This window comes from Homo sapiens, chromosome 10 (genome assembly GCF_000001405.40).
Source record: "Homo sapiens chromosome 10, GRCh38.p14 Primary Assembly".
NCBI lineage: Eukaryota > Metazoa > Chordata > Mammalia > Primates > Hominidae > Homo > Homo sapiens.
Window position 1 is genome coordinate 87,416,192 of NC_000010.11, and position 15,208 is coordinate 87,431,399.

Sequence of the window (15,208 nt, forward strand, 5' to 3'; positions counted from 1 at the left end):
TAAGTACTCTTCAACAATGTGCAGTTATTTCTCCACAACTATCAATTCCCCTTTAAGCAGAATTTTACTAAAAATGGCTTTATCCTTCTGGGGATAATCAGTAAAATGGCAATTGGTGGGCGAATTAAAAATATATTAAAAGCAGATGGCAGAACATGAGTGCAGATTTTTACTACAAAGCTTAGGAAAAGCAAAAGGAACTTGAATAGAGAAAATGCAGAAAAGCCCTCCTTTGGCTATTAGGACGGAGAGAGCAGAAGTATGTTTAGAGCTTCAAAGAGTCTGACTCTTTGCAACTGTTTATCTTAGGACTTTAAGGAAGTAAAAGGTGCAAGTGAAACACTCTGGATTATAAAATAGAATCTGACACAGAGGATTCAACCCAGTTAATATGCATGTTGCTCACATGGAAATGCTGAGAAATTTTTAGCAAATAGATAGAAAATGACAGATGGTAGGTATATAGAAAATAATTGTAGGAAAAAATGTAAAATGAAGACGTATGGTATTCCTTTTATATTTTATTTTGTTAATATGTTGCCCATATTGCTTTATTTCAAAGAATGCAAAACCAAAAAAGTAGTTCCTTCCTAACTTCCCCTGCAGCCTTGTCTTGTGGAGCTTGTATTTTACTTCATGAGAAATGCCAAGGAGATGTCATTTAAGCTGAAACCTCCAGCAGAATTAGCCACAATATTTGGGAAAAAGATGTTTCCAGAAAAAGAAAGAGCTAGTATAAATGTCCTTAGGCAAGAAGGAGCTCACGATGATTGAGGAACAACAACAAAAAAGATTATTTCACTCAAGAAAAGTGAATTGGGAGTACAGATATAAATGATGAGGTCTGAATATGATTCATGGGGCAGGTCACACTAGGGTGTTTGGGTGTGGTCTAAATGAATGCGCGGCATGAGTTGTTTTAAGGAGAGGAGTGACATGATTTGACAAGTTCTTAAGAGATCCCTTTGATTACTCTGGGGAGAATAGAAATAAAGTAGCAGAAATGAAAGCAAAGGGAGATAGTAGGAAATAATTGCACATTTATAAGCAAGAAATGATGTTGGCTTGGACTCTGGTTATAGCAACAAATAAAGAAAAAAGGAAATACTGAGAAAAGTTGATTGGATTTGCTGACATTCTCAACATAAATGGAAGTCAGTATTTTTTTCTAATAAATATAATATGCATAAATATTTTTAAATATTTAATTCTTTTACCACTAATGGGGCACGAGTAGACTTCAGGGAACATGCCAGTACAGAAACATATAAATGTGATCATTGGTAGAGATAGGAATTAATAGGCATTTGAATCTCTCCCTCAACCTGGAATACCACAAATAAAGCTCTTTGCTTTTCATGTTGCATTGTTATCATACCCTATAGTTTTCTGCCATTTTCAGTTACTTAATATTATGTTTTGCCTCAATAGATTATAGTGCTTTCTCTTGTTGTGTTATATTTGCAGCAATTATTAGTGAAGTTTTAAACTTCAATATCACATCTAAAACAAAACAAAATTGTTGCCTACTATTTTCCATTAAAACATGAGACCACTATGACAAAAAAAGCTAAACGTGTCATGAAATGACTTACATTGGATGAAAGTATATGCAATATATTAAGAAATAATCTCTGACTTTGTAGTTTTTTATTTGTAGTTTTTACTAGAACATGAAATCAATATGTGAACCCTGGCTGGAGTTTGCATCTAAATGTAATAAAATAAAAGAAAGTTTAATATTATCATTGAAGCATTAATGTACATTAGCGAGCTGGACTATATAAAATAAACTTTATTATATTTAGCATTTGATTTTTATTTATGTATATTATAAAATGAATATAGTTTATATTATAATAAAAATAAAAGAAGTAGTATGTTAACTAATTAGTATAAGATGCCTACAAACTACATATCTGCCTAAATTTTTGACCCATGAAACTTCAATGATTTGTGTTAATGTTAAGGCCTACATTTATTTATATATATATATATATAATTAGGGGAGGAATTGTTAATTCTTTCATTTTAAAAATTTTAACTTTGCAGACAAAGTTGACTATACCTGTGGCAGAACACTGCAACAGCTATAAATAAATAAATAAATAAATAAATAACTTTTATTTTCTGTGGAGCTCCCAGAATTATGAATTATTCTGTAGATTGAGATTTGCCAAGGTCCTTTTCTTAGAGTTGCAAGAGCATAGGAGAAAGTCAAGGGAAATAATAAGCAGCACTTGATTTCCTTTACCACAGTGGATGGGCTTCTAAAACCAAATTACCTGACTATAAATCCAGATCTATCTTCTGCAGGCTACGTGATTGTGGATGTTACCTCTTCTGTGCTTCAATTTCCTCATCTGTAAAATGGAATTATAGCCTACCCTATTTTGTAGTATAGTGAGGATAAATAGAATGAATGTATGTAGTTCTTAGAATAGAGCATGGCACGTGATAAGTGGTCAATAAAATATTGTTTACTACTAGTTATGTAACAGTCACTTCACACATAATAATGATTTAATAAAGGAATAAGAAGAATGTAGAGCACAGCTTCTCAACATTGGCACTATGACATTTTGGGTCAGACAATTATTTAATGCAGAGGGGGCTATAGGATGCTTAGCAGTGTCTCTGGCCAGTAGCGTACCTCCTCCTCTCCAAGTTTTGACAACTATCAAAAAGGCTTCTAGACATTGACAACTATCCCCTGAAAAGTAAAATTGTCCCTGCTTGAGAACACAAATATAAAGTAACCACTCAAAGATTACATTACTAATTTTAATTGAATTTGACCAGCATTATGAAATAAGCATAAGCTTAAGTTTCTACCCTTGATTTTGTCATTGTCAGTTAGGGCAGCAGAGAACTCCAATTCTGAAAATTCTGAACATGTGCTAATACCCTATAATATAATCAAAACTTTCATTTTTGAATTGTATTTCTTAAAAATTAGAAAATTTATTAAGCAGCAACATGGAATAATTAACCACAAAAATGTTGAACATAAATCTCATTTGCCTAAGTTCTCTTTTGAAGTCCTATTTCACTATATAAGTATTATGTGTTTTGTTTCACAGCTAGATAACAGCCAGTTTTTTCTTTGAGCCTAAGGTTGCTTCTCAAATTTATGGTGGCTTATAGCTCTTCTAAGTTTCTATAAAACTTCAGCAACCTGCAGCAGGTTGAAATTTATTGATATTGAGTTATTCACCAGGTCATATTACAAAGTCAGGGATTGACTCACCCAAACCAGATGCTCCCCCTGCCACCAGATCACTAGGAGATATTGCAATCATTTCCCCTGGTTACTAAATTAGCAAAAATTCTCAGGGAGAGAGAAGGGCAAGATGGCACAGTTTAATACTTACTATTATTCTTTTATTCTTTACCATCATTCCCTTTGAATGGATTAAGAATCTGACATAAATATAACTTGCTAAAGAAAGGGTGTTAGGTGAGAGGGAAGTCATATTGGTCTAAGAAAAGTCTTAGAGAAATATTTTGAAAAGAGGCAGAGAGAAGGGTTGGATTGGAGTGGGTGGGTGGGGAATCACACTAAGGAGATGGATCATTCATAATTTCTTTAGACATGGTGAGGCAGCCACAGGAGTCTGAACTTGTTGAAACCCTAGTCTGAAGCCAATAAAAGTGCTCAATAAGGTCATACTTTGATCTTCTCTGCCTAAAGCAGTTATTCACCCTATCTTTGGGAGAGGAAACATCTACAAACCTTTGTTCTCTTTGTTAGCAGAGGGATGACATGAATTTGGGAAAAACGTTTGAGAGACAAAATGAGATTTAGCTCGAGCAAGTGATCGACTTGTGCTGGGTTGCAAATGGACTTTTCCAACAGGCAGATTGAAACTGTGCTTCAGCAATTAGGATACCAGATATAAACATCCATGCACAGAATTGGAAAGGTTCAGCTTTCATGGTTGCTATGGTTTGAATGTTCCCTCCAAAACTCATGTTGAAACTTAATCCAAAATATGACAATATAGAGAATGAGCTTTTTAAAGAGGGGATTGGATCATGAAAGTTCTTCCCTCATGAGTGGATTAATTCATTGATAAGTCAGTGGATTAATAGGTTATCTTGGGAGGGAAACCGTTGGATTTATAAGAAGGGGAAGATAGACCTGAGCTAGCATGTTGGCATACTCAGCCCTCTTGCCATATGATACCCTGTGCTACCTTGGGACTCTTCTGAGAGTCCCCACAAGCAAGAAGGCTCTCAAAAGATATGCCCCATCGACCTTGGATTTCCAAGCCTCCTTGGCTGTAGAAAATAAATTCAGTTCTTTGTAAATTACTCAGTTTTAGGTATACTGCTATAAGCAACAGAAAACGGACTAAGACAATGGTCTTATCCAGAACTTTGTAAACTAGAATTGCCTGTTTAGATTCAGTATGTATTTTTTTTACAGATGCAAAGTAATTTTGTTTTGAACTGTACAATGAAGGAGTGTCATAAGCTTTTCCACATGTAGAGGCTCTAAATATCAGTCTGGCATTGTGATAAAGCAGAGAGTTTAAACCCAATCCTATTTGTGCCCCATGAACGTTCTTTCTGGTTACAGTTCAGAAAAATAGGAATGGATGCGTAACTCAAGGAGAAGCATTTAATACATGAGGCTTTTTCTCAAAATTTTGATTTAGAAAATGAGGTATTTTAGTATGTTAATTATAGGCATTTCAACTGAGAAGTCTAATAGCATTGGGCCAGAATTGTTGCAGCAGTCCAAAGCCATGGATAAACTTAAGTTAAAGGGAACAAATACTAACAGCCTTCCAAATTAATCTGTATTGGAGAGGATGATAAACAGATGAATGGGAACTAGAAACCATGCAGACTTGGAACTAGATATAAAACAAACAGCTATCTAATGATTCCTTATTTACTCTGAGCCCAAGATATTCTTGTATCCTTTTAGTTAAACCTCTGTTTTACTAAGGAAATTTAAATAAGATTCTGTCTCTTGCAAGAAAATAACATCTAAGACATCTTCGTATTTAATACTGCCTTAATTTTGTTTACACCAGTGGTCCCCAACCTCTTTGGTACCAGGGATTCGTTTCGTGGAAGACAATATTTCCATGGACAGGGTTGGGGGGAAGGTTTCGGGATAAAACTGTTCCACTACTCAGATCATCAAGCACTAGATTCTCATAAGGATCAAACTAGATCACTTGCATGCGCAGTTCACAGTAGAGCTGGTGCTTCTGTGAGAATCAAATGCTGCCAATGATCTGATAGGAGGCAGAGCTCAGGAGTAATGCTCACTCATCCACCTCTCCCATTCTGCTGTGTGGCCCAGTTCCTAACAGGCCCAGTACCAGTTTGTGGCCCGGGGGTTGGGACCCCTGTTTTACACTATAACATTTCCACACGTCTCTCATGGCCTTTCAGATCCACTGCTTGTCTCAACTCAAGTCCGGCTACCTGAAAATTCGATTATTTTTTCAAAGTGAATTTGAATATCTTTATGTTGAATACACAGTCTCCACTTTTACGCAGCCCCTACTGTCTTATATCATACCTCTCTAGCCCTGGAAGAGATCAACTTTACATTCACTTTTCCTGTTTTAGGGCTATTATTTTATCTTCAATTATCAAAATCTATCTACATTTAGATACTTTAACTTGCAAATACATAGTAAACAATTACGGATTATTTAAAATAGCAGTTTTCCCATGAGTATAAAAAAAAAAGAACAATAAAAGCAATATTTGTTGAGTATTTTAAAGTGCCAGGCACTGCGCAGTGTGCTTTGCTTAAGTAAATGTTTGACAAAATAAAAGGTCTTTTAAAAGTTCCATGCTTTAACATTAATAACCATATAAAGATAAGGTTAGACTTTCTATCAAATTAGCAGTTTTGTGAAGATAGGCCTTTTCTGCTATATAGAATCTCCTCAAACCTGAGTGTTCGTATTATGGATTATCTAGTATACTCCATAGCTATCAAGTTTGTGTGTGTATGTTTCTTTCTCAAGCAAGTTATCTTATTTCTCCTTATTTCTTCAGACTTATCCTTTCTTTTCTTTTCTTTTCTTTTTTCTTTTTTTTTTGAGACGGAGTTGCACTCTTGTTGCCTAGGCTGGAGTGCAATGGCATGATCTCGGCTCATCACAACCTCTGCCTCCCGGGTTCAAGTGATTCTCCTGCCTCAGCCTCCCGAGTAGCTGGGATTACGGGTATGTGCCACCACGTCCAGCTAATTTTGTATTTTTAGTAGAGACGGGGTTTCTCCATGTTGGTCAGGCTAGTCTCGAACTCCACCCGCCTCAGCCTCCCAAAGTGCTGGGATTACAGGCATGAGCCACCGAGCCTGGCCCCTAACCTCTCATTTCTAAGGAAATGACAAATTAAGTCTTTTATGAAAATACAGTGTAGGGTCATTTAAAAATATTTTTTGTAATAGGTGTCTCTGTACATAAATCTATTTAATTTTTTCTCTTTTACAGTAAAAAGGCAATACTGTGTTTTAGTTTCACCAAAAATTTCAGTAGACCAATTGTGTAAAGGGATACATTTATATGAATTTTTTTGACATAGTAAAAACTAAGAGGGGAAGTTATTCAAATATTTCAGCATAAATTCCCTTTCCTTGAAATTGCAATCATCATGTGTAGCTACAATTCCTCAGCATTCCTCTGTAGTTTAGATATTCCCAAATGTCTGACTAATAACTCTATCTATAGGCAACTGTTCTGAAGGTTTAAAGTAAGGAGGATGGGGTTCATTTAGAACCAGTGGGAAAAAATGCTAATGCTGGGCTTTGAATTTTATGGATGCTGTAGCTGTTATTTTTCAATTAAATAAATGTTTATATGCCATGTTTTGTAGCTATCGCAGTTAAACTGCCCTCATCTTTTTGCCCAGCAAAAAACCCATTAAGATCTTCACTGAGATTGAGTCTAGGTTTTTTATAAAATTAATAACTGTGCTACTGGTTTCTCAAAAATGAGTAGAAATGACTTTTCAATGCAAATGCCAGTTTTTGATACAGTGAAATTATCCTGTCTGCAGTGACTATTTGAACTTTTATCGGCAATCGGACACTGAGAGACTTAGTATATGAACAGATTTATCCTTAGATTATCTAATACATGCTTTGCACCCTGCACCATAAAACCTGATCTATTTTTAAAGCCTTGGTTGTTCTGAAAAATGAAATGAAATTGTATTAAATGGCATTTTGACTGGGGAGAAAAAAAAAACTTCATGTGGTTTAAGAGAATGGATGCCGGCAATTGACTGTCTACTGTTTATTCAAAACCTATAGATTAGCAGCCAGATGTGGCAGAAATTGGCTGATTTTTCATTCACAACAAAAACGATGCTGTGCTTAATGAATGGAGGTTTGTTATCCCAGTAATAAGTAAAAGGTACATGAAAGCCCTTGTGTTTAATGTTCATGCAAATAAGCTATTTGCAGGTGGCTTTTGGGCAGGGTCAAATATTTTCAAATATTTTTCAAAACTGGGTCAAGTTTTTTAATTGTCAAAAATTACCAGCTAGAGGAAAACCTCCTAAAAACTTTATTATGCTATTTCCCAAGTAAATGAAATGACAAGTCACTTATCATTTAATAAATTACATATGAAAATTCTTTTCCTTATGATTTCATCAATAAATAAATTCTAGAGGATTCTAGATATATTTATTTGGCTTCTTTTTTTTAATGTGGTATCAAATTTTGTGGATATTCTTTAGAGAATCAAATTCTTAAAATGGCATTGAACATTTAATTTAAAATGCCCTTCTTGAACCATACATGTTTATTAAAAAATTATTTTATATAGGTTATCCATTAAAAAACAATTTTCTATATATGTAAACATTTATGATAACTGCTCATTATTTTGGTCCATACTTATTTATCTACCTATTTATTAAACAATACAAATCATACGCTTTGTAAAAATAAAGGCCTAGTCTAATATTACTCTCTGTCAGAAATAAAATAATTCAGAGAAGTCTGTATTACAAGACAAAATAAAACAAAATAGAAAATGATGAGAATCACAAAACCATTGCCAAATTTCCAGCTATGATATTTACTCTCCATGTGGCCTTAGGTATCTTACTCTCTTATTTTAACCTTTCTTTGATTACTGTAAAAATAATTTGTTACTAAGAAGCCCTCTTGCTTTAGTAGCTGTGAGTATAAAATTAAGAACATAATTCTCAAAAAGTGTTTTAGTCTTCCTGGAAACATTTTAAAATATCAATTAATCATTGAACAATATACAATCGCCTGATCATTTGCTAAGAGAGGGTTGCATTCTCATCTCTGTTCACTTCTGTCCTTTCTGAGACTCAAACAGGTATGAGAGCTAGAAAAAATATTAATGTGTAGTAATTCAAAATTTCTCATTCATGAATCTCTTCAGCAGTGCAAAGAATACTTTGTAATTTTTAAAAGGCATTTTTATTAATATACTTCTACTATTCTACCCCAATCAACAGCAAATTTACCTAAATCATGAGACTACTGGTACTGCTAATTTTTAGAAAAGAATGACATAAGAACTACTATTAAACCCAATGAATCCTTTACCTGAAATGAGAATGTCCACGAGTCAGCTCTTCTGACCCTCTGGCCAGTGTTCTGGAGTTACTGATCTCCAACTTTCTAATTGAACTCTAGCTTGGTATGTGAGAGCAGCCATGGGTGAACCAGTGGAGCAAGATTTAAGCCTTGACATTGCCATTAATGATTCACCACCTGTTGCAAGTTCAATAAGTTATCCACACACCAAATTGTGGTCGCAGAATTCAGTGAGATAAACTAAGTTAGAAAGATTTGGGGTGAATAAATGTTTGCTAAATCAGAATTGTTAATGATAGAAATCTGTATCTTAACAAAGTTGAGAAATCTTGTCTTCTTAACGTGTATTTATTGACTTCCCAGGATATGTCTTAGTAAGGAAACATAGCTTCTGGCATTTATTATTAGAGTGATAAGGAATAATAAACCACAGTGCTTGAGAGACAGGGAAAGGCAGGGGGACCTAGAGACACAGTAACAGAAGCAGATTAATTGACTGATGAAATAAACTTGAGATGAGAGAGCACAGAGGAGGTTCAAGAGATGGAACCATATATTCCTCTCTATCTGCTCCCACCATCAAGGGAATTAATAGCATATTTTATAATGAATCCCTGATAAATATTAGTCTATAATTGAAAATCTATTAAAATGACTATTTCTTAGGGTACACAAAAATATTACAACAAAACAAGTAAAGAAAAGTTGCCATGGGATGGAATATTATATTTTCCTGCATGTCTGCTTCAAGGCAGAATCCTAATGGTCATGTAGGTAGGTAAATTATTCTTTTTACAGCAACTTCTGGGAGGTGGTATTTGGTGGCGCATAAAAGGCAAGGGGTGTAGTGAGGGTAAAGTGTAAGTACTTTGATCTTGAGCCTTGACTATATTGGACTTGGGATCTCGGAAATCTTGGGGATAAACCGTGGATTAAATCCATAAATTAGTAGAGTGTTGATTATACAACAGGTAGAACTACGTGCCACTTTTGGAGGGATAGTCTTCTTTTTTTAAAAAAACAAAAGGCCTTAAAGGCTTTATATATATATAAAGCCTTTTTAAATTATAATAAATACATATTTTTTAATGAAACAATCTGCACATATACAATTCCACTCTCAAGAAAGGCAATTATTTACATAATTTTGCAGAAATTCCTATAATTATGAAAATAATTGCCTTTCTTCAGAGTGGAGTTGTATATGTGCAGATTGTTTCATTTTAAGAAAAAAAATATTTATTGATTTGATTAACTGAAGTTCTGGACGCTTAAAAAATGATTAAAATACACAGATCTACTATCTGTCTTCATGAACTTTAAATGTCTTGTAAGAAACTCAAGTAATAAAGACTACAACATTTATTATTTAACTGGAACATGTATTATTTATTATCCTAACTGTGGTTAGGAAGCACCATTATCTATTATATCTAAATTAATCAAGTTGTATCCTGTAACAGGTTTCCTGTTATCCACTCATGTCTTCTAACTTCTGAAGTATTGTTTAAATTACAAAGGAGAAACCTAGACACTACATTTTCTAGGATCTCAGGACAATAGAGCTCCAGGTGAAATTATGCTAAATAAGGGCATGAGTGTAAGATGTGGATGTCACAGTGAAGAGATTTAGAGCATTTTTCTGGTGACCTCCTGTTTAGGTTTGACAAGCATCTAAAATCATTGTTAGCAACTTTCCCATAATTATTGCATTTTCAGCCTTTATGAAAATAGCAGCATTTTTTTTCCTTTCTTTGCCCATGCACACCATCTAATCATGAGATAAGTCTCCTTCTGAGTCCCCAAATACATGACATACATAGATTGGGATCTTTTTCTGACCTGTTCCTGTCTGATACATTCTTCAACTCTAAGATGAGTTCATACTCATCTTCTGAAGCCCCTGGGAAATGGAAATATTTTTTCATATTAGATGTTGGTAGAGACCCATCATTTAATGAACATCTATGTGCCAGGAATTGTACAAGGCACTTAGATACATTATTCGTGTACCTCACACAAATGTATCAACAACACAACAAAATGTCTGTATGAAATAATAATTATTATATCCCTTATATGGAAACAGATCCAGAGAGGAAGATACACTAGCATGTGTAAATAGAGGATTCAAGAATTAAACATCCATCTGTCCAACTGACTACAAGCTCTTTCATAAAATGCTAATTTCTCTCCTGCTTCTAATTTTCTTATCAAAAATTGTCATCTATTGTTATTGGGTCTATGGGTGGGTAGTGACTCCTTGGTTTCCATTTTGTTCTAGCGGATTACTGTCTTTATTTTTGTTCTAGTGTTTATTGAGAGTCCTAATTAATTAACCTGGCTGCTCTGACTTCCATCAGCTCACCATTGTCTCTTCTTCCAGCTCATAATTTCTGTAACAGAGCTCTAGGCTATGCTAAAGTTCTGCTATATGCTGCCAGTCTCTCTAGATCCAAGTGCCTCTTGTCGGCCAAGTTTATATGCACGTGTTTAAAATCTTCTTATTGACTCTATATACAAAGTCTTCACATGCCTTCCTCCTTAAAATAATAGCATTGTGAGAAGAAAAAAAAATCATCATTCTTTTTAAAACTAATTCAGGATGTCTATGTAATACAACAACAAGATGTGGGGGAATATTTACCTGGTAGTTCTGTCCCTCATTATCATTCTCACTCATTATAAAATTGGTATCTGAAAAAAATCTTGCTGCAAAAACAAAAAAAATGTATAGGGTATAAAGAAAAAGTTTGCTTCACATCATAACCATTACCCATCCCATTGCCAAAGGGAAGATTGTACACTACATGATTCCGGGGAGCAGCATTCACATAGACTACAGTGTGCATGGTACATGCAAGAGACCCCATAGTACTACCCACTTTGTCCTCCTTGTAGACATGCTCACAGATGATCCATGCTCCCTGACCTGGAGTAGTCAAATAAAAGAGTAGCATCAATTTATTAACATTCTTTCCAGACCATTTTCTAGGTATTCCCATTATATATTCCTTCAAATGGAAGGATTTTATTCTGTACATCGCATCTCACTGTACACATTTTTTTCTGAAATCTGAAATCTGAGTATTTTAATTTTATGCAGTTTCAACTGTGAGAAGTACCTGACAGACTGACCTGACCTAACTCTCTCTAAGCTAAAACACTCATAAACTAGCACAGAAGCTTTACACATTTATCCATTTCTCTAATTTACTTATCTATTTTTTCCTGAAACATCTATTAATCTGGCAGTTATTTGAGATGACTGTGAGCTTACTATTTGCCAGTGATGGCATGAGCACCTTGGTTTAGTCTAGTGCCTGGCATTTATTTTCCTAAATTCTGGCAGCAAGTTTAGCTGTAAGCATATTTTTTATCAGAACAATCATCCATCTTTAACTACATGTGAGGAAAGTACTTTCTTATATTGCATTACACATTTTTATATGGCCACAGAAATCCTTACTTAATCTGACAAAATTATGGCAGATTTCTTTCTCGTAAGGTCAAGGAAAGAATCATTCTGTACTGTTTCCATGGAGATGTTTCTCCTTTTCTCAATTGCCAATTGTCTACTGTGTGTCCTGGGTTCCTTCTTTTCATATGTCATGAGGATTCTCACCCCAGCATTCTGCTCCTCTGAGTAAAAGCCCTTGACTTTTCACTTCTCAGTTGTTTTGTTTGTAGTTTTCTTGCTTTCCTTTATTTTTCTTACTCTATAAATGCTACGAAAGTGTATGTAAAAATTTACCCATCTTTTAGTTTATATTTGTTATCACCCTTTATTCATATACCAAACCATATAGGAAATGAATATAAGGAGATCTTCCTTAGTAGGAGGTAGAAGTAAAATTTTGTTTAGAATAAAAACAGAAAAAAAGAGAACAAAATTCCATATCACCAGTTTGCTTCTAAATGCCCAATAAGTTTCCACTTATGAGCTTGCTACTGTACACAACGCAAGGGCTTGTAAAAAATTGTCTAAATGATAGTGGTTAAGGACGTACTTTAGGCTAGGTTACTTTAAAAAAATATATCATCACTTCTGCCGTCAAAAGTGAATTTGATGTATCATAATTGTTAAAGTTGAGGAGGGTCAAGGATTCCTCTCATTCTATGGTTTCCTTATAAATACACTTTCTAATAAATGCCTAATTTTTTTCTGTGAAATTAAACCATTAGATATTGCTGAATGTCTGTGTGTTTCTTACTTTTCTAGAATCTCATTCTTAATTATAGTTTTATATTTTTCCTTCAACAAAGTCTTAAAACCCATGCAGCTGGTGTCTATTATTTACATTCTGTGATGTATTTTATTTGACTTTGTGTTTTTAGTCTTTTCACAGAAATCCTTTTATTGTGATCTTCTTTTCCAAAAGCACTTATTTCATATCTTTTTTCCATACCTATCTTCATTAGCAGGTTGCATTTCAGTTTCTTCAGTCCTTTTTTAGATAATATATTTTACTACATCTGCCTTCACAACACTGTATATGCTCTGATGATCAGGTCTCCCTTTTTTTTTTTTTTTTTTTCAATTCTCGTCCTCTTTGGGACCCATGACAAAGTAAAAGGCAGACTTTTTTCTCACCTGACTTAAAAGTAAAAAGGTGGCCGGGCTCAGTGGCTGATGCCTGTGATCCCAGCACTTTGGGAGGCTGAGAAGGGCGGATCGCGAGGTCAGGAGATCGAGACCATCCTGGCTAACATGGTGAAACCCGGTCTCTACTAAAAATACAAAAAAAAAATTAGCCGGGCATGGTGGCAGGCGCCTGTAGTCCCAGCTACTCTGGAGGCTGAGGCAGGAGAATGGCGTGAACCCGTGAGGCAGAGCTTGCAGTGAGCCGAGATCGCGCCACTGTACTCCAGCCTGGGCGACAGAGTGAGACTCCATCTCAAAAAAAAAAAAAAAAAAAAAAAAGTAAAAAGCCTCATATGTTTCTCCTCTGATTCTTCTTAGGCCCAGCATTTCCAAAACCAAAATAGTACACAGAACATTAGTTGTAATGATACTTCAAAAGGTTCAAATACTAGTTTTTGGCTGCTTTCTGTCTATATTTTTCTTCTAGAGAAATTTTCTGTTATGAAGTATTGAACTATTCAGTATACTTTAATATTTTCCAAATAAAGTTTCAAAACTGATATTTAACAATATTCTCTTATATTCAAACATATTCTGAACTATTTTCTGCTGTGAACCTCTGCCTTTCTGGTTCAAGCAATTCTCATGTTTCAGCCTCCCAAGTAACTGGAATTACACACACACGCCACCTCGCCTGGCTAATTTTTGTATTTTTAGTAGAGACACAGTTTCACCATGTTGGCCAGGCTGGTCTCTCAAACTCCTGACCTCAAGAGAGCTGCCTGCCTTGGCCTCCCAAAGTGCTGGGATTACAAGCGTGAGCCACTGCACCTAGCTGGTTATACATATTTTCAAGTCTATTGATACCTAGTGCCAGGAACTTGATTTCAAGAAGAAATATATGTTGTATGAATGCAAGGGCTGTGTTTGCTTTTGCTCACCTGCTTCTGCAGTGGCCAGGCTTTTTGTCACATTAAAGGTACTCAGTAAAACATTTGCTCAATGAATAAATGTATGGCACCTGCCACTGAAAATTAAGAATGTCTCCAAAATCAGACAACATGACATGCGTATCTCTTTTGGGTTGCCAGTGTTGTAATTCTACTCACACCAGTGGTAGTTCTTCTGAGGCACTAACAAGTAGTATTTTTCTGGTGGTTATGATCTCACTTTCCAGCTTCTCTCATGTATCAGAGATATTTTATAGCAGTTGAAAATTTGAACTCTCAAATTAGATAAGTTGTAACTTAGAGTCCTCCACTAGGTAGCTGTGTAAACTCGGGAGTCATATAACTTCTCTGGGCCTCAGTTTTCCTCCATGAAATGGGAAGATTGACAGCATCCACTTCACCGAGAGGTTGTGAGGATTAAATGAGCTCATTTTCATAGAAATGCATTATGGTGCTGAGCACATAGTAATTGTTCAATAAATGTTTTCTGTTATTTGACATAATTGAGAAACTCTGAAAATACTTTTTCCTCCAAAAGGGAGTATATAAGGAAAGATGATGATTCTATGTAAACGTCTCAAAAAAGAGCCGAGAAGTACAAATGAGAAAATACAATTGAGAAAACAGAATTTTAAAAGATTTCATAACCTTTTAAATTCCTCCTTGGTTGTTTTTATTATCCCAGGCCTATTTCTTTCTAATAATTGGCAGAAAAATCACAGACCAAAGGCCTCCTCTGGCAGGGGAGCCTGGAAGAGCAGCTGGGGAGATTGGCGTCCTACCCCACTGCCAGTCTTCCCAGGGACTGAGAGAGGGAACAGGAAATTGGTGAGTGTCTGAAGGTCTACAGTGAGGGGGACAGAAGAGAGAATGCAGGGACAAGTAATAGACTGATAAAAGACTTTGAGACTTGAAGAGTTTCCAGTTTGGACGAGCTGCTGGCACTGTGTGCCTGGGTCAGTCACAGTGGGATATGGATGCTGACTACTGAGTGAGGATCGAGTAGGTGTGTGGGCAAGGGCAGGTCATGTCCCACTAAGGACTGGCAGAGGCTGGCAGTGCTAGGAGAGGACCAGTCCTGGGGGAGGGAGAGCTAGTGTTGAAAACAGG

General features: G+C 35.4%; 1 long non-coding RNA gene across 1 annotated transcript in view, besides 1 other annotated feature; it reads left to right on the forward strand.

The window, feature by feature from the left end:
• Nucleotides 747-947: a silencer, noted in NCBI's record as "peak1047 fragment used in MPRA reporter construct". NCBI's record gives its function as "represses an SCP1 promoter by STARR-seq MPRAs in K562 erythroleukemia cells {active_cell/tissue: K562}" and the evidence as "EXISTENCE:reporter gene assay evidence [ECO:0000049][PMID:32103011]".
• LOC112268063 (uncharacterized) overlaps nucleotides 13,933-15,208 on the forward strand; it is a 62,306-nt gene continuing 61,030 nt past the window's right edge. Inside the window, exon 1 of the long non-coding RNA XR_002957092.2 lies at nucleotides 13,933-14,926. This is a non-coding gene — a long non-coding RNA (uncharacterized LOC112268063). The remainder of the gene's footprint in view (nucleotides 14,927-15,208) is intronic.